This window comes from Homo sapiens, chromosome 18, assembly GCF_000001405.40.
Source record: "Homo sapiens chromosome 18, GRCh38.p14 Primary Assembly".
Classification (NCBI taxonomy): domain Eukaryota; kingdom Metazoa; phylum Chordata; class Mammalia; order Primates; family Hominidae; genus Homo; species Homo sapiens.
In genome coordinates, this window is record NC_000018.10 from 35665849 (window position 1) to 35685313 (window position 19465).

Consider the following 19465-nt stretch of genomic DNA (forward strand, 5'->3'; position numbering starts at 1 on the left):
AGATAGGACGCTACCATTTAAAACCTTGGTTTTAAATAAACCAAGGACAAGAGAGACATAGAATGTAAAAAACAGGAGATTCAGCTTGTGTAAGAAATGGTGAGAATGACCAGAAGGTGATGAAGGGAGAGCCTGAGTGAGAGTTGCACAGGCAGAGGCGACCAGCCCAGATGGAGCCAGTGAGAAAATTCCAGAAGAGACTTCAAAAAGATACCATTGAAGTTACACCTGATATGGCTGAATGTCTAGAGTAGATTTAGACAATTGATAGGAAGTTTGGGATTGAAATACATAGAAAACCATAGTAAGAAAAAAATTAAATGAGCATTACCTTCAGGGAAAACTTTAAAAAAATTGTTCAGAGAAAACAAAAGTAATCATAGTTTACTACTACATGGCTTAGCCATGAATAAGTCATAATAAGGTAACTGTTGAATATTGTGCATGTAAAAATTAAACCAAGGAGATGAAGAGTATCTCTTTATCTGGCAAGTTGATTAAGTGGAGATCAGTCAAGAGAAGCTTAATTTGTAAAGATTTTTCACAAACCATTTGCTTTCCTGAAAATTTAAACATTGTTGAAGAAAACTATAGACTCTCCACAGTCTACAGTTAAAATGATGCCTGTATTATAAACAACCTTACATTTACTTCAAGAGCCTCAATCAACTATTATTGTTTCTGGTAGAATTGTTTTTGTCATTTTAATAACCCCCCTAAGTATATCACCACTCTTAACACATTTTATTAAATATTTATGTCTTTTTGTCTTTATGTGGTTTTTGAAGATACTTTTATTAATGAGTGCCTTTTAAGTGCATTGTAAGTCACCAGTTTTTGGACATTGAACAGCTTTATGATATTAGGAATAGTGTTGAAATGGTGTGATACAAATGCTTGTGCACCAAGTTTCACACTTGAAGACTCTTCAGACTTGACGAAGTCCACTTTTGTGAAAGCTGCCAATACACAGTCCTTCTGGCCAACTGCTGGGTCTCTGTGGGACTGGGCTGCCTAGGAGGTAGCGCAGAGTCACTACTACCACTGAGTAGCCTTTTTATATCTTCACTCTATCTCTGGACTGATAACCTTTTTTAAAAAAAAAAAGTTTTAGAAGACTTTTTATTATGGAAAATTTCAAATGTATACAAAAATAGAGATAATAATGTAATGAACCCTCTTGTATTTACCACCCAGCTTCAACAATTCCTAACAGTTTTGTCTTACGAATTCTTATACCCTCTGAGATGTCCGTCAACAATCTTTGCCTCCTGGTATTGACACCTCTTTGTAGTCTCCATCTTGCACTAAGATTGGTCTGTGTGAGCAATAGAACATGGTGCAAGTAAAATGGAGTATCTCCTTCAATATTATGTTATCAAATATGCTGTGGCTTTCATGTTGGTCTTTTACTCTTGCTGTGATCATTTGCTCTGGGATAAGCCCCTGGACACAATAGGTGCAGCCCTATGTCGACACCCGTGTGGTTTATGGCTTTTTGTGAACAACCAAAGAAGTAAGATTAGAAGCATATTCTCCAGCCCCAAGCAAAGACAAAACATTTCTAAATATTTCAATATGTAGCTCTGAAAGATAAGGACTCATAGAAAAGAAAAATAAAAATGATTATACCATTTTCACCCCTAAAAATAACATAAACAATGATACTTTCATATCATAAAATACCCAGTTAATATTCCAACTTCCCTAGTTATGACATATATATTTCTTTTTTTATAGCGTAGGTGTCAGGATCAAAATTGCAGCTGGTGGATATTCTCTTAAGTCTCTTTTAGTCTGTAGGTTCCTTCTCTGTTTTTTTTCCTTACAGTTTATTATTTGAAGAATCCAGGTAGAATGCCTTACATCTTTTCTCAGCCTACATTTTGCTGACTGCATCACTGTGGTGTCATTTGAACATGTTCTTCAGTTCCCTGTCCTGTGAATTGGTAGTTAGACCTAAAGGCATATCGTACCAATATCCTTAAAGTCAAGTAAATTGTGTGGTTGTGGTATTAAAGGTGTGAGATCTGGCCCATAATATGCATTGTTATTATGGACAGGTTCATTACATGTTTCATTTGTCTACTTTCCCTTTTTGTAGCTCCTGTTAGCTAGGCATTAAGTGCACTAAGGAAGAAAATATGTTATCAAAGTTGATGATGTGAATGCTGCATATCAAAACTTGTGAAATGTAGCTAATTCCATGCTTAGGTGATAATATATACCTTTAAATGCATATGACTTTTTTAAAAAGAAGATGGAAAGTTACTGAACTAACCATCTTAAGAAATTAGAAAAGGAACACATTAAAGAGAATAAGTAGAAGGAAGAGTGGAAACTTAAAACTTGGAAACTTAGGAAATAAAAACGTACAGTAGAGGAACAGCAAAGTCAAAAGTTCATGGGAAAAAATGATTAAAAAATGATAAAATTGACTAATCAAGAAAATAAGAGAGTCACAAATCCATAAAAGGTGGCGTCATTACAGATCCAGACCTTAAAAGATAATATATCACAAAGATGAGAAATTATAAAGTAGAATACAAACATCGAGTATAGAGGCTCAACAAAGCTGAAAGTTCTTTGGAAAAAAATCAACAAAATCAAAAAACGCTCTCCTAAATAGCAGATAATGGTATGAAAAAGACAGCATCCCTACACATCTTGCAGACGTTTGAAAGATTATATGTAGATTATATGAGGTTTTTTAAAATAGTCAAACTCGTAGAGGCAGGGTGTAGAATAGTAGTTGCCAGGGTCCGGTGGCAGGGGAGAAATGAGGAGATGCTGATTAGTGGGCATAAAGTTTCAGTTATGCAAGATGAATAAGGACTAGATACCTGCTATACAGTATTGTGCCTGTAGATAACAATGCTGCATTGTACCCTTAAAAACCTATTAAAAAGGTAGATCTCATGGTAAGTGTTCTTACCACAATGACGTAAAGATAAGATTATAAGTGAATATTATAAAATCCCAATTTTTTAAAATTTAGATGAAATTAGTAGTTCCTAGAAAAATATAACTTAGTAAAATTGACATCAGAGAAAAGAAAGTATAAGTTCTATAGCTATTAAGTAGAATTAATTATTTAAAAGCATTACACACAGCCGGGCGCACTGACTCACGCCTGTAATCCCAGCACTATGGGAGGCCGAGGTGGGCGGATCATGAGGTCAGGAGATCAAGACCATCCTAGCTAACATGGTGAAACCCTGTCTCTACTAAAACTACAAAAAATTAGCCAGGCGTGGTGGCACGCACCTGTAGTCCCAGCTACTCAGGAGGCTGAGGCAGAAGAATGGCATGAGCCGGGGAGGCGGAGCTTGTAGTGAGCCCAGATCACACCACTGCACTCCAGCCTGAGCAACAGAGAGAGACCATCTCGAAGAAAAAAAAAAATCTTTACACACAGACATTCACACAGTTAGACATAAACACAGACTTCCAGGCATAGATGGCTTTGCCAATGAAAATGAAGCAACATATCAAACTTATTTCATGAAATCAGCATGATCTTGATATGAAAATCTGACAAGGTTATTACAACAAAGAAATATTACAGACCAGTAGTCTCGATACAGATGCAGATTTATAAGTGAAATCCAGCAATATATAGAATAAATGATACATTAAAAATAAATTGGTTTATTCCAGACATGTGAAGTTGGTTTAGGATTTGAAGATCATTTAGATTCACCACATTTATAGGAAAACAGGCGATAAGTTATGTGATCATTTCATTAGATACAGGAAAAACATTTGATAAAATTTGTCACTGTCATGATAAAACCCCTTAGCAAACTAGAATAGAAGGGAACTTCTTTAATCTGACAAAAGATTTCTAGAAAAACAAAACCCTCCCAGCAAATATCTATATTTAATAATAATGTTGTAAGCTTTCCCTTTGAGATCTGGAACATGACACAGATGCCTGTTAACACCACTTCTGTTCAGTGTCTTACTGGAGGTCTTAGCCAGTGTAAGGAGGCAAGCAAAAGAACTCACTGTTATGAGGACTGGAAGAGAGGAATTAAAATTTATTAAAATTTATTACTTTAAGAAGTTCATTAAAATTTTATTATTTGCAGTTGACATGATTGTGTATAACAAAAATCCAAAAGAATTAGAGGATTAGAATAAAAAAGTGTTTAGAGACCGGTCACGGTGACTCACACCTGTAACCCTAGCACTTTGGGCACCTGAAGCAGGAAGATTGCTTGAGTCCAGGAATTCAAGACCAGCCTGAGCAACATTGATGAGACCCCATCTCTACAAAAAAATTAAATAACTAGCTGGACACAGTGGTGCATGCCTATAGTCCCAGCTGCTCAGGAGGCTGAGGCAGAAGGATAACTTGAGCTCAGGAGTTCGAGATTGCAGTGAGCCATGATTACACCACACTGCACTCCAGCCTCGGTGACAGTGTGAGACTCTGCCTCAAAAAAAAAGAAAAAAAATATTCAGTAAGGTTGAAGGTTTTAAGGTCTATATTAAAAAGAAAAATACGTTACATTTCTATATGTTGTTTTCTTACAAAAGCTAGAAAATAAAACAATTTTAAATATTACTTATAATGTAGTCTGAAAATATCAAATATCCAAGAAAGGCTCTTCAGAGTAAATTCTAAAGCAAAGAAAAATTAAATACCTAAATAAATGGAGAACTATCCCACATTCATGGGGTCAGACTCCTTAATATTATAAAGATGTTGGTTCTTTCTACATTCATTAGTAGGTTTGATGCAGTGCCAATCATAACCACGTATACATGTGTAATTTGACAAGTTGATTCTCAAATGTGACTGGAAATGCAAAGACCTGGAAGAGCTAGACATTCTTATAGAATTATTAAGATTTCTTAGAAAACTGTAATAATTAAGATAATGTGGTATCGTTGCAAGGATAGACAAGCAGATCAGTGGAACACAATAGCGAGTTCATGACCAGTTCTGTACATACTTGAACACTTGGTTTAGGACAACGGTGGCACTATGTGGCAGTAGGAGAAGGATGATCTTCTAAAAAATGAACAAATGAATGACGCTGGGTCAACTTGATATAATTCAAGACAAAACTGAAACTGCATCTTTACCTCACATCATACAGAAAAATCAATTTTATATGTATTACCTGAAATAAATGTGAAGGCAAACCAGCAAAGCCCTAAAAGATCACATAGGAGAAAATATCTTTATGATCTTGGGGTAGGAAAGGACTTTGTTTTAGGTGTATTTGTACTAGATGGCTGGACTTTTTTTTTCTTTTAAATGACAGCCTACCATTTATTTATTTAATTTTTTGCTTCTCTCGTGCTCATGTTCATAGGCAGCCTACCATTGAAGGGACTCTCACTCTGTATATACACACATATATATTTTTGAGAGACAGGGTCTTGCTCTGTTGCCCAGACTGGAGTGCAGTGGCACAGTCACAGCTGACTGCAGCCTCAACCTCCTGGGCTCAAACAATCATCCGACCTCAGCCTCCCGAGTAACAAGGACTACAGGTACACACCACTACACTCGGCTAATTTTTTAAACGTTTTGTAGAGATGGGGGTCTCACGCCACGTTGCCCAGGCTGGGACTTTGTATTTTAAATTTAATCTTTGGTTTTTAATAGATGACTTTTGTGTATATTATGACTTGATCTACATGTATTATGACTTGATATATTTGAACTTCTTTTAGGTTGAACCATATGAAATTGATATTCAACCACTTTTGACCTACGAAAATGACAATTTCATAAAGTTTGACTTAATAAATCTTGCTTTCTGTTTAGTATCTTTTTCATTTTTTTCCTCCTTTCCTGCTTTTCTAATTGATACAGTTTCAACTGGTAAAGTTTTAGTATTCATGTTTTTCTGTCTCTTGGTTTGGAAGCCGTACACTTTTCCTTTATTAGTAAGACCTAGGTATATTGTAATTGTCAAGGTGTAGATTTATCTTTATGTATCTACATGTTCAGTGCACATAGTATACTTTTGATGTGAGCACTGATATTATTCTTCAATTGTGGGACATTCCTAGCTGTAATCTCAAATACTGCTGCTTCACTATTTCCTCCAATCTGTTCTTTTGGAGCTACTTATATGCATATACTAGAGCTTCTCAATCTATACTCTTATTTTTTCTCTGTTTGTTCCTTTTCAAATTGTCTCTAGGTAAATTTCTCATTAATATCTTGATAGTGGCAAAGTCCAAGTCTGGCTCTGCCATTTACTGGCTATGTGGTTTAGGACAAGTTGTCTGACTTTTCTATACCTCAGGTCCTTATCTCTAAGATAAAGAGAATTACAAGGGTGGTTGTGAGGATTTGTAAAGTGCTTTGCACACTTCCTGGAATCTAGGATACAGAGAAGGCCTCTGTTCAAGGAGTGAGCTCCAGGTCCCTGTTTGATTCTCAGGAGAAGCTGACTCCAAAGGGACTTTTCCATCTCTACTTTTTTTTCTTTATTTTTCTACTCATTTCCTGACTTCCAAAGCAGATTCACAATGAAATGCCAAGTGGTAAATATTAGATGGTATTTTCTTCAGCCTCAGCTATGCTGGACAGAGGTAGTTAGCTGCTTTCCATTCCTGCTCCCCGAGGTGGAAGGAAGAATGGTGTGGGATGGCCCTTGGAGTGCAGCTTTTTCACCACCTTTTGGAACCCAGAGAAACCTTGCTTATGTTCTAAGACATGGGCTTAACTGGTGTGTAGCTGGCTGTGCCCAGATCTTCCTGTCTGCCAATAACTTCTACTGCCTTGTACAGTCTCTAAGAGCATGTTTCCTGAAGGAAACTGGAGGGAAGAATGACATTATTACACTGTTCAGAAGAGTTAAATAGAAGTAACAGTCCCTGAATAACTTTTCTAATGTGTGATCTTAGGGAAGGAAGTGTAAGACAGATTCCAAATCATCTAGTAAGCCAAATCCATCCTATATAGTTAGTCTTAGATATTTAAAAAGTAATTTTAATAGCATTTATTGAATGCTTTATTATATACCAGTGTTATACACATTGTCATATTCAAACAGTTGGGCAAAGTAGTAGTAATGTGCTCAGTTTACAAATGGGGAAACTTGGACTTAGGGAAATTAAATGATTTGTCCAAAGTATAGTTAGTAAGTGACGCAAGTGAAATTTGAACCTAGGTCTCAGGGACAAAATATGTGCTCTGAATCACTATGCTTTGCCCTTAGTTTTATGGTTAGATCTTAGTTGATCTTCTCTGAATGAGAGTGTACAGAGGAGAAATTTTGTAACATTGCCAAACACTGCCTGGCAGGTAGCCAGACATCTTATGAGATATTGAGTTGTCATTGATAAATGCTAGTGACAGATGAAATTTAATGGGAGAAAAAGAATACATTGAAAATCATAGCTTGAAGGGACATGGAGGAGAGCATTGGATTATACATGCATAGTCACCTTGATGTGGAAATTTCTTGAAAATTCTTTTCTTGGCTCTTCTTTCATACTATAGTTCTTGACATATATATGGATGATTGATGAGCAGTATAAGTTTTATCATAATTTGCAGATTTAACTTGTAGTTCTGTTACTTACTAGCTGCTATCATGAGCAATCTACTTTATTTAAGCCTCAGTTTCCTCATCTGTAAAATTTGGAGAGTAATTCCTCTGTCTTAGGGTTGTTATAAGCATACATGGGATAACATATTTAAACCTCTTAATGCAGTTTCAGGAATTTAATAAAAAGTCAGGAGGACCCTTTCAGGCCAGTGCCCTGGGATAGGATAAATAGAGTAGGACTTTTTTAGAGATGGAGTCTCACTTTGTTGCCCAGGCTGGTCTCAAACTCTTGGGCTCAAGTGATCCTCTTGCCACAGCCTTGCAAAGTGCTGGATTGCAGACATGAGCCCCTGCATCCAGCCAGAGTAGGACTATAACAATTGAAAAATATTAGTAATAGTAAATACCAAGCGACTTCTGTAGTTCTGTATTTCTGAATTGTTAGGTACAGTCATGTGTTATTTAATGACTGAGGTATGTTCTGAGAAATAGGTCATTAGACAATTTTGTCATTGTGTAAACATTATAGAGTGCACTTACACAAACCTAGATGGTACAGCCTACTACACACCTAGGCTATATGGTATAGCCTATTACTCCCAGTCTATTAACCTGCATAGTATATTTCTCTACTGAATACTGTAGGCAATTGTAGTACAATAGTGTTTGTGTATCTAAACATAGAAAAGATACAGTATAAATATGGTATAAAAGATGAAAAATTGTACACCTGTATAGGGCACTTACCATGAATGGAGCTTGCAGAAGTGGAACTTGCTCTGGGTGAGTAAGTGAGTGCTGAGTGAATGTGAAGGCCTAAGACATTACTGTATACACTACTGTAGACTTTATCAACACTGTACACTTAGGCTCTTCTAAATGTATTTTGCAGATTAAGTAATTACGCTAGTATGTTGATGGTGGCTACAGTGACACTAGGCCATAGGTATTTTTCAGTTCCATTATAATGATATGGGACTACTGTCATATATGTGGTCTGTTGTTGTGGGGGTGCTATTGAAGCTCAGCGGGGTGAATGCCCTGGGTATCCACCACATTCCACTGGCAACCGCACAGTATGAGGGAGAGGAAAACAAATGGAAGCACACTGGAACCGGGGAGGGAAGTTTCTTCCTCCTGCATTGTCCCTGCAGCACCTTCTACCTACAGAGCTTAGGCATGCCTCATGCATACTGCAAAGGAGAAAAGCTTATAGGGGCCAGTTTGTATGTATATATTTCAATAGAAAGTTAAGACTCTTCCCTTTCTTCCTAACCTATACCTTGCTGTTAAACCTGTATGTAACTTTTAGAAATTAGCATAAACTGGCGGAGTGCAGTGGCTCACGCCTGTAATCCCAGCATTTTGGGAGGCCGAGGTGGGCAGATCACGAGGTCAGAAGATTGAGACCGTCCTGGCTAACACGGTGAAACCCCGTCTCTAGTAAAAATACAAAAAATTAGTCGGGCGTGGTGGCAGGCACCTGTAGGACCAGCTACTGGGGAGGCTGAGGCAGGAGAATGGCGTGAACCCGGGAGGTGGAGCTTGCAGTGAGCTGAGATCACGCCACTGCACTCCAGCCTGAGCGACAGAGCGAGACTCCGTCTCAAAAAAAAAAAAAAAAAAAAAAAAAAAAGCTCGTTTTCATAACTGAGGATAAAAGTCTCACTTGGGCAAGTGTGGAAGAAAGCTGCTTCCTGAACATGGCCTGTGGCCTTTCTGCTCATCCTCAGCTCTGTGTTCTATGAACCCATCCCCCTACCCACTTCAAACCCCAAAACACAAAAGGACAGGTGGTTTCTTGATTGGAAAAGCTTAGCTAGAATGCTAAAGGGCTCTTTGGTTCTTCTCAAGTGCCTTGTGGCTCTTCCAGGTTAGGGGTGTGTGTTTGTGTGTGTTTGTACCTGTTCTGAGGTTAATTATGGTTGTTTAATATTTTCTCTATGTTTCCTCATTTGCTTTGAGAGAATATTAATTTATGAATTTGTTATGGTCTCTGATTAACCATTTGATTTAAAAAATTATTTCCTTTTTATCATCTGTTCTTCTGGATCCTAATATTGCTTCTCTCTCTGATTCTTCCATCCAGTTTCTTTCTATTGTTCTTATAATCTTACAATCTTACTTCCTTTCCATACAGTTTTAGAATTTTATTCTTTAACATATTATACAAGTAGTAAATTTGGGTTATCACTTCTCTTCTGCAGAACCTGCTGTCTCCACATTTTTCTGTCTTCCTTTCTGTTTCCTAGCCATAGACATGGCTAACAGTACCATTTGTATCTGTACATCTTTCATGCATCACTTGATTTTATTATTTTATTTTATTTTGGTAAGGTAGCAGCTATATAGCCACCTTGGCTGTTTCCTGCTTCCCAATTCTACAATAATAATAAGTAGGATTCACTTGGGAAAAGAGATTGTATGTGTGGCATAATAAGATTCAGCTAAGTAATGGAAGAAACTCTTTTTCTGACCCCCTTTTACCCATACATAGGCCATTCCTGACTTCAGAGTCTTATTCCAGGAGTCTGTGCATCAGGCATTCCAGATACAGCTTGCTCAGCTATGATGTACCTGAAACTAGTACTAATTATATACATAAATATTCTAGCCACCATTTATAACAGAGTTTTGATGGGAAACTATTTTCAGAAGTATTATTAGGACTGCTGAGGACACATCTTTTCCCCCTCTAGCCTAGTCTTTTGGGCCACACCTCTTTAGCCTAGACTTAGGAGGAGGGAGCTGCAGACAGGGTGGCAGGCTGTGTGGGCCTTCTTGTGGTGGTTAGAGTGAACATAGGGAGCAAGCAGTGAAGTGGAAATGAGGCTGTGGATTTTCTGGATCAGTGGGTAGAGGGAAGGTTACTGTTAGTAGGAGACGGAGACCATCCTGTGAAAGGGGTCTTGGGAATGGTGAAGAGGGAGAGAGGGGCTGCAGTGGAATATATCGAAGGACAGGGACAGCTACTTGTTTCTCCTTGTCTCCTGGCAGAAAGAAAGGACAAGGGCTGATGGGGCCCCTACGATGACTTCTTTCAACCCTTTTACCTTGTCATCTTTTTACCCTTCGCTTTTCCTTTTCTTCCAACTGCCAACTGGCAGCCCTAGGGTAGAGTGTTCGATAAGAAGTTACTTCAACAGCTTCAGAAGAGGAGTCTTGCTTGTGTTTTCTTCATTTCCTCCCCATCCTTCCCTTTTCCCACTCCCACTGACAGGCGATTACAGTTGAGACTGGGGAGTGGAAAGTTTGAGGAGCTTGAGAGAGAGCAGGGAATAAAGGAAGAAAGAGGAGGGTGGAGCAACTGTTAGAATCGGGGATACCTGGGAGATAATTATATATGCACTGTTTAGGGGGGCTTATGTTCTAAAGCACATCCCTTGATCTCAGGTTACCTGCCGCTGTTACTGTTCTCTGATAGGCTGTTATCTAGTAATTTCATCTAGCTAACAAGGTTGAAAGAAGAGACCATGTTGCCTAACAAAGTGCTGGAAACATACAATTATTATGTGGATTTTGTGTGCATATCTTTTGAGTGTGTTTGGTATTTCTGATTATTGCATGCTCAGGCATAAATAGTCTTTAGTGAACGAGATACATGTTGATATTTAATTATGGCGGTGGCCCCATCAAGAGTTGGAACAGCAGGGCATGGGCTGTGGAGTCTTCAGTCAGGTTCTGTTGCCTCCTCGCTATCCCTGCCCTGTTTCTCATCTGTGAAATGTGGCTCCAAGCATCCGTCTTATAGAATGACTAGGAAGAGTAAGAGCCTGGTACACGATAGGTACTCACTAAATATTTCTCTTCTTTTGTGGAAGGTATATTTTTGTTTAGATTATTAAACTACGTAAACTCCAGTGGTTCTAATTCTTTGTCTAATAGGGTCTTTGAAATACATTCAGTTTTGGGCAGATAATATAGCTTTATTTCATTCTCCATTAAAATGAATCACCTGAAAACATTCATCAGGAGGAAGTACCTAATTTTAAGAATATAAATGACATCTTTGAAATAATTTTAATCTAAATATATCACTTTAAATAGGTGCTATTTATTAAACACATAACATTAACCAAGACTTAAATGAAAAGGTACCAAGGATCCCACCACTAGAGCAAACTGCTTTTATTGTTCTATCACCCTTCTAGTCCAGATTCCTTTATTATGCAATCTTAACAGTCACTTTTTATAAAGGCATTTGCTTTGTCTCTAGGTGTAAAACAAAGGTGTATCCAGATAATCTTCCTACAACAAGTGTGGTGATTGTTTTCCACAATGAGGCTTGGAGCACACTTCTGCGAACTGTCCATAGTGTCATTAATCGCTCACCAAGACACATGATAGAAGAAATTGTTCTAGTAGATGATGCCAGTGAAAGAGGTAAATTTTAAATTTTAATGCCAATAATTTGCTACACCTTTTGTCACTAACGGTTAAAACTAGTTGCTATAATTTTTAACCTAATAATTTTATACAAAATTCTAATTTATCCCAAAAATATGGCATTTGGATTCATTCACATATGTAAAAAAGTACACCCTTGTGAAACTTAAAATATTACTTTAATTAGTAATTAATTTAATTTGTGTGTTGCATCTTAATCTTGTTTCAAAAAGAAATAATGCTCTATAACATAAACTATTATGCAGGACAGTGAAAAAACTCTCATCATTTTGTTAGGATTTTCTCTGTGGGAAGCTGCAGGACTGAGTCAGTAGAGAGAGACTGGATTCTGCTTACATCCATGAATGGAGAAATGTAGTTCCATGTTTAGTAGGAAATATCTCTGACAGCAAAATGGAGCTTTAGCTGGGTGAACCTTTGTTCTCCAGATTTTTCTTAGGTTTCCCTATTTTCTCCATTTCTAAGTTTCAGGAATGATCTATAGCTAGGTGCATAAAAGGATTAGGAAGGATGAAAAGGTGGGATGTAATATGACTCTCATAGTAAATCTCTACAGACTCTTGCCCACGTCCTTCTAGGAGTCTCAGAATTTTTCACAAGGCTAAAATCTCCCAAACTATTTCATGAAATACTCTTTGGGAAAGGACATATTAATTAATGGTGGCTTGGTCAATATTATTTATTCTGAATCCTTACTAGAGATTTCACACTACAGAGTACCATATAGAAAAGGCTCTGCTTAGTCCATCAGTAAAGAAACTTGCTTAACTTAGATACCCAGTATTTCCTAATTTTCTTATTCATAGCTCATCTGTTTAGGAATCATTGGTGTCATGTGTTCCACCAATGTTCCTGTGTTCGCATGAGAAAAATTTAGAGCTACAGAAAATAATTTCCTACTTCTTTTCTTCCTTCATCAGCCTTAAATGATCTACCATTTTAACCTCTTTTGCTAGTATCTTCAACTTTCTTGCCTATTCTCCCATTGCATCTGCTATGATTTAGTTAAGTATCATACTTTCTCCTTCCTGTGTCCACACTGAATACATGCATTTAACCGAAATTAAGTTTATTCACATCAAATATCAATTATTTGGAGTAATTAATACAATAAAAACAATTTAAATCTTATTGCTTTGCCAGTTTATACAGTTGCACATGAAGAAAAGGATAAATCCTACCTTTTAAAGTAATTTATATCTTACCTTTTTAATCAAATTAAAGAGATACTTTATAATCACACAAGACATTTAAATAGTATAATACATTATATAATTACATGTCAGAAGGAATGAGAGCAGTTAAGAATACCACACGTAAAGAAATAATTGTTGACAACAGAAGTATAAACCTTATGTGGATAATCTATTTGCTAGGACTTAATCCCTCTGTAAGAAAATTAACCTAAGTTAATATAAGGAGGAATATATACAAACATTTATCCTGCAAATGACTTGTGCTTGGTTTACTTACGTGTCAATATTTGCTAGATTAAATATATTCTTCCAGAAGAGATACTTAACCTGAGATAAAATGAATTATTTTTTCATTTCCTCCTTTGTTTTTCTCTCTCGTTCTGTGAATGCCCAAGAAGGCTGTGTAGAATAATAAGTTTTTGTAGAATATGGCCTAATTTAAAAGGTGCAGGGTCCCACAACAAGTGACAGAGAAACTCACCTATAGCAGTTCTCTCTTTCCTTTCCCTCATGCAGCCCTCACCCAACACCCCAATCTGTGTACATCTGTGAGAGGAAACTGGTGTGAGCAGATGTCTACCTCACTGCTCCACCTGAGGCTTAGTCTCTAGGCAGGGTCCTGGAGTGCCGCTCCAGAGTCCCTGCTCAGGGGTCTGATTCTCCTTTATCTTCCTGCCTTGGAAGCCTCAAATATCCGGGTTACCATTTCCGGTATCTGGGAGACAGTAGATCTTTGTTTTTGTGGTTATAATTTGCAGTCTTGCTTTCCAGGTTGAGAATCATCTAATGTATTTTTCTTTGGCTCCATTGTTTAAGTCGTAATTGTTAGACCCAGAAACCAGAGCAAGCTGTTTGCTTTTATGTAACTCTTTACATCTGCTTTTTTTCCTATTCATGAGACACATCTAAGGCACCATCATTTCTCACCTGGATATGGAAATAGACTAACTAGTCAAACTAATGTCCCCACATACTCTTACCCCCTCCCATCTGTTCACCATGGTGCCTCCAGAGTGAGCTTTTTTAAAGCATGCAAATTTGATCATTTCGCTTCCATGCTTAAAACCCCTCCACTAAGGCCTGTATGACCTGGCCCCACCTGGCATCTCCAGTCACATCTTGAACCATTCCCATACTTCTTCCCTCTGTCCAGTTTTCTTCTTTCAGTTTGTTAAAGAATATCATCCTTCTTCCTATCTCAGGGCCTTCAATTGTACTGATTTTGTTCCCTCTCCCTGGAACATTGTTCTCTAGGGAACATTTATCTCCACCATCTCCCCAGCACTGTTAACATTGAATCATCCATCAGAGTTCAGCTCAGATGTGATGTATTTAGAGAGGCCTTTCTTGACCTCTCCAGACCTGTCACATCCCTCTGAAAACATCTCATAACACTCTACTCCTCTGCAGCTCTAACCAGGGTTTGAATTACTTGTCTGTTTAATAGATACCTTCCCCCAGTAGACTGTATACTTTGTCAGGTCTATTTGCTCACCATTATCTCTTCAGTTCCCACAGTGCCTGTTATATAACAACAGTCTAGAATTATATAATGAATGGGTGAAAGAATAATGTACACTGGTATATTTAATCTTCACATTTACTTCTTCTCTGTGCAAACTTCCTAATTGGGTTGTGTAGCATAGATAGTGTGCCCATGGCCTCTGAATACTTGATTTCAAGTTAACCTGCTGAGTAACTCTATTTATTAAAGAAGTATGAAGTAGGTGCTATAATTATTCCTGTTTTATTGATGAGGAAAATGAGGCTTAGCATGGTAGAGGAGTATCCAAACCCTGTATAAATCCAGAGCCTGACCTCTTAATTGCTGTGTACCTCACTTCTGATTGCTTCTGGTGCAACTTTACTGTTACAGGATCTGTAATAAAGTCAGAATTTGGACGAATCCCTAGTTTATGTCAGAAGTTATGTAATTTTCATCTCAGAAAGTTATCTTAAGACTTAGAATTTATGTAATGTTTCTAATCTGAGAAGACTATTATTTTTTCATTTTATACAAAAAGCAGAGGTTTATATTTAGTAGAGGTTAGGAGTTAGATTTATTAGATTCTGAATTCTTTATTCTTCCCTTTATTCTTCTCTACTACTCCTTAGAGTTTTGGCTAATATTTCTCAGACATTGATGTGAATAGTGAAATTTTTTCCTGATGTTCACACTCTCTGACAACCTCACACTCTGAGAAATGCATAGGGATCCATTTATAGGCCAATAGTTATAAAGGTGTCCTAAGAAGATTCTCCCTTGTTTTTAGATGTAATAGTAGCTTCTAACTATAATCTCTTAACTCATGGCTTCATTTTTGTAAAATGAGACTTGGATAATTCCTAATCCCCCACCCATCCCTGAGTCCATAATTCTGTATCGACTGAAAAGAAGACACCTATATCCTAATGTAATTGTGTGAAAGCAACAAAGATGTCAAACAAAGATGCCAAGAAAATTTGTGGAAGAGCAAATTTTGTGAGTTACCCGACCACAGAATCATGCATTTTTTTTTTTAATTTTGTTCATAAACAAGACAGTATAGCTTTCAAAGACATATGGGACTTGGGGATTAGATTGCTTTAGTTCTGAAGAAACGTTTTAAACTAATATTTTTGGAAAAACTTGTTGGGAGACGCATTGTTTATGACACATCCAGTCTTGATTGATCTAAGGTACTAAAATATATCTTATACCCTACTGCATGAAATTCTATCAAATTCTGGATACAAAGTATTTTAAATTTGTGCTTGATCAGGTGCTTCCACAGACCTGAATTGTTCTCTCTATAGAGTTCCCTTCTAGGATTCTCTTGTTGTAGATAAAAAGATGGGCTTTAAAGTCAGGCAGACCTGGGTTTGAATCTTGGATCCATCCCTTAAGCTGTATCACCTTAATCAAATTCATGTAATATGCTGAGCCTTAGATTTTCATTTCTAAATTATGCATAATAACTTCATAGGGTCATTGTGAGCATTAAATGAGATAAAATATATAATGAGACTAGCATTACATATGTTAGCATTATGCTAAACAGACACAAAATGTTAACAGTTACTACAAAATGTTGCTCTTCTCTGGGATTGGCACTACCCTTACCTTTTTACTCAGAATCAATTTAGATCCTTCTGACCCTAAGACTTGGTTCATAAAATCACAGTGATATCTTTCAGATAACTTTTTAGCTCAAATATTAGAAAATATATTAGCAGAAATGGGAAAGATCAGTGTTTTGGTGTAGTGGGACACATAGGCCTTTCTCTTTTACAGCTTTTTATATCCCTGATTATTTCATTATTGAGTCATTTTGTCTTGTTGAGTCAAATAGGCAAGAATTGTTTTACTCCCATTTGTCTTTTCCACCTCACTATGTAGGAAGCCTTTTGGATCTCTACTTTTAGTATTTAATTAATAGATATGAGGATAATCTCTCTAGGGGTTCCAGTAGTTCCATCTCAAATATTTTCTTCCCTAGAGAGATTATCCTCATACTTATTGTATGGTGACTAGTTGGAAAGGCATTTGGCCATATTACCACCAATAGCAGAGTTCTCTAGCATAAATTCTGTAAACCAACCTGATCGGAAAAATGTTTTCTCTTTGCTTTGAGGAAGTTGCACCTTTTCTGCTTTTTAAAGTCAGTTGTGAACTTTGGAGGTAAGGTTTATCTTATCCTATATGCTTGCCTGTGTCCTGAGGAGCATAACCTCTTATCTGAACTCTCCAGGATAGCTATTGATTTCATACACCCACATACTCTCCCTTTCCCCTTTTGCCCACTTTTTCTCTTTTCTTCTTCAATTGCCCTTTCCTTTTTAAACTTTTTTTCTTACACCTAATTGTCAGTTTAAGGATCTCTATTTGGCCTTGCAGTTAACAGTCCAGCATTTCTTTTCCAAGTGTGACCCCACTTTCTGCCCCCTGATTAAAAAAAAAAAAAAAAAAAAAGTATAGTCAAAGACCATGGTAATCAACAAGACAATTTGTTTGTGCTTCTGAGGAAATTTCACAATTTTCTGAACTCTACAGCTATTACATATTCTGTGTCTTCTCTCTGTTGAGGTCTGGATTTAATGCTTTCTTTGTATTGCTGATCCTTAAGCATGATTAGAGAAAGAATTGAGTCTAACAGAGTTACTTAGCGAAACATAGGAGCATTCCTATCCTTGGTTAAGTCTGAGCACAAAGGCATTCTCCTAATTCTGCATATAATAAAATAGAGGCAGCTGTAGTCCATTCTCTTGGGGAATATAAAGGCTTCCTTTAGCAGAATGGGTTTATGAGTCAGGGAGCCTCACTGAGAGTGTTCAGTAAGGGTATGTTGAATAAATTTTCCAAATCAAAATTACTTTCATCTGAATAGTGCCAGGCCACACTGGTTTGCATGTTTTCTTTTGTTCATTTTCCAGACTTTTTGAAAAGGCCTTTAGAGAGTTATGTGAAAAAACTAAAAGTACCAGTTCATGTAATTCGAATGGAACAACGTTCTGGATTGATCAGAGCTAGATTAAAAGGAGCTGCTGTGTCTAAAGGCCAAGTGATCACCTTCCTGGATGCCCATTGTGAGTGTACAGTGGGATGGCTGGAGCCTCTCTTGGCCAGGATCAAACATGACAGGTAATTTTCTGGTGTCTGTAAGTTTGCTTTTAGTACATTTGTCCTAAACTATATGGTGAGTTGCCAAATTCTATATTTTTTAAATAAATATAAAAGTAATTTCCTCCCAAGTTTGCTTTAAAATATCCGTGAAGAGGACTCTAAAGGAAATATCCAGAAGACCACATTCTGAAGCCTGGCAGGAATGTTTGCAAACTGTTGTACTAATGAGGAGTGATTAGGAAGCATGTCATTGGAATGTATACTATATGCTGTGTTCACCAAGCTGGAGCAGAACAGATAGATGGTGAACTCAGGGAAGACAGCATAAAACCCTTCACTTGTCCTTGCACTCTAAAGCTAATGCTGGAGCAGGCAGATCCTCTCAGCTTGTAGTGCAGCAAGAAGTAGAAGAGAATGGAGAGAAGCACATTGTGTCCTGAAATGCTTAATTTTGTATGGAAAGCACCATAATCTTAGATAATACAGGAAGAACAGTGGTGTAATGAACACCTGTGGTTATAGTTTTTCATGTTACACATTTTTCAAAGAACTCCCTATTTCTGGCTTAGTTCTTGTGCATCAGGAGAGAACCTGACTTCAGTCTGCTAGACCTATGTTGGTTGAATTTCTGCTTGTCATTGTAATTTGAGGTAGAGACTGTCCATGTTTAGATTTTAGTGGAGTGAACTTTTACTAGTCAAGTGGAACACGGTGGGAGCTAAAGCCACAGCATCTATTCTGTTTGATAGCAAATGCTGGATCTATATTTTTTCCCTTTCAAAGATGAATAAATAGGAAAACTCAGCATTGGGCCAATCAATGGGAAAGTAGAGCAGCTTTAGAAAAGAGAACATTGCCCTGAAGAATCAAAAGAATAGGATATCTGTAAATTATTTTCTTTAAATAATAGATGACGTTTTAGGGAATATTTGCTCGCCTGAAGATAACACACAACCCATAGAGAGAAAGCAAGGTGAGGTGATGACAGAAGTATGGAAGGGAGTCAGCTGAAATAGCAACCACAGTGACTTCCAGTTTGGGCTGCATGGTGGATTCGATATTCTGAATAACTTTTCCAACTGAAAAAGCTGGATAAAAGACAAAACAAATTTTAAATGCATCATTGAGTTGGCACAAAAGGAAGAAATTTGCAAATCTCGAAAAGAAGTGAGAGCAAATGTGCAGTCCAAACACTAAAGCCAGCTTTCGCTGGTAGGGTTTCTGCTGAACTTTGGGGTCACTAAGCTTCTGCCTTGAGAGACAAATAAGATGGAAGGATAGGAGACAAAAACCTAGGTCCTGCCTCAGGTGAGAAGGTTAATAGCAAACACCTGTATAAAGCTGGGCTCTTGAAATCTGTATCTTAGTATAAAGCAAGAATGAAAAATTAATCCCACCACATCAGAGAAAACTTGCCTGTCTCAACCTTGGTATGCAGTGGCAGAGGGGAAACAAATCTCCCCTAAGAATTTGTAAACAATATAGAAAAAGAGGAAACGAACCAAACTCTTTTTATGAGGCTGGTATAACTGTGATATGAAAACCAGAAAAGTACTACAAGGAAAATTACAGTGCAAATCTGTTCATGAATGCTAGTACAAAAATCTCACAATACCAGCAAACTAAACCAGCAATATACACACACACACGTGCACGTATGCGTGTAAAAAACATATCATGATATCATGACTGCTTGGTTTAGCGTAATATTACAAAAACTAATTCGTTTAATA

General features: G+C 37.3%; 1 protein-coding gene and 1 long non-coding RNA gene across 14 annotated transcripts in view, besides 1 other annotated feature; one reads left to right on the top strand and one right to left on the bottom strand.

Moving 5' to 3' along the window:
* The window catches only part of GALNT1 (polypeptide N-acetylgalactosaminyltransferase 1), a 130913-nt gene that overhangs the window by 84927 nt on the left and 26521 nt on the right, over positions 1-19465 (top strand). For all 13 annotated transcript variants that reach the window (XM_047437466.1, NM_001384441.1, NM_001384439.1 and 10 more), the window contains 2 exons: positions 11743-11909; positions 17543-17750. In XM_047437466.1, the coding sequence (XP_047293422.1) occupies positions 11743-11909; positions 17543-17750 (375 nt within the window). The remainder of the gene's footprint in view (positions 1-11742; positions 11910-17542; positions 17751-19465) is intronic.
* Positions 775-11282, bottom strand: LOC105372065 (uncharacterized). Its single transcript, XR_935378.4, has 2 exons — positions 10580-11282; positions 775-1089 (listed from the first exon to the last, which is right to left on the bottom strand). It is a non-coding gene; the product is annotated as an uncharacterized LOC105372065 (long non-coding RNA).
* Positions 5316-5488: a silencer, noted in NCBI's record as "fragment chr18:33251128-33251300 (GRCh37/hg19 assembly coordinates)". NCBI's record gives its function as "represses an EF-1alpha promoter that drives an FKBP-Casp9 reporter gene in an ReSE screen in HepG2 liver carcinoma cells {active_cell/tissue: HepG2}" and the evidence as "EXISTENCE:reporter gene assay evidence [ECO:0000049][PMID:32094911]".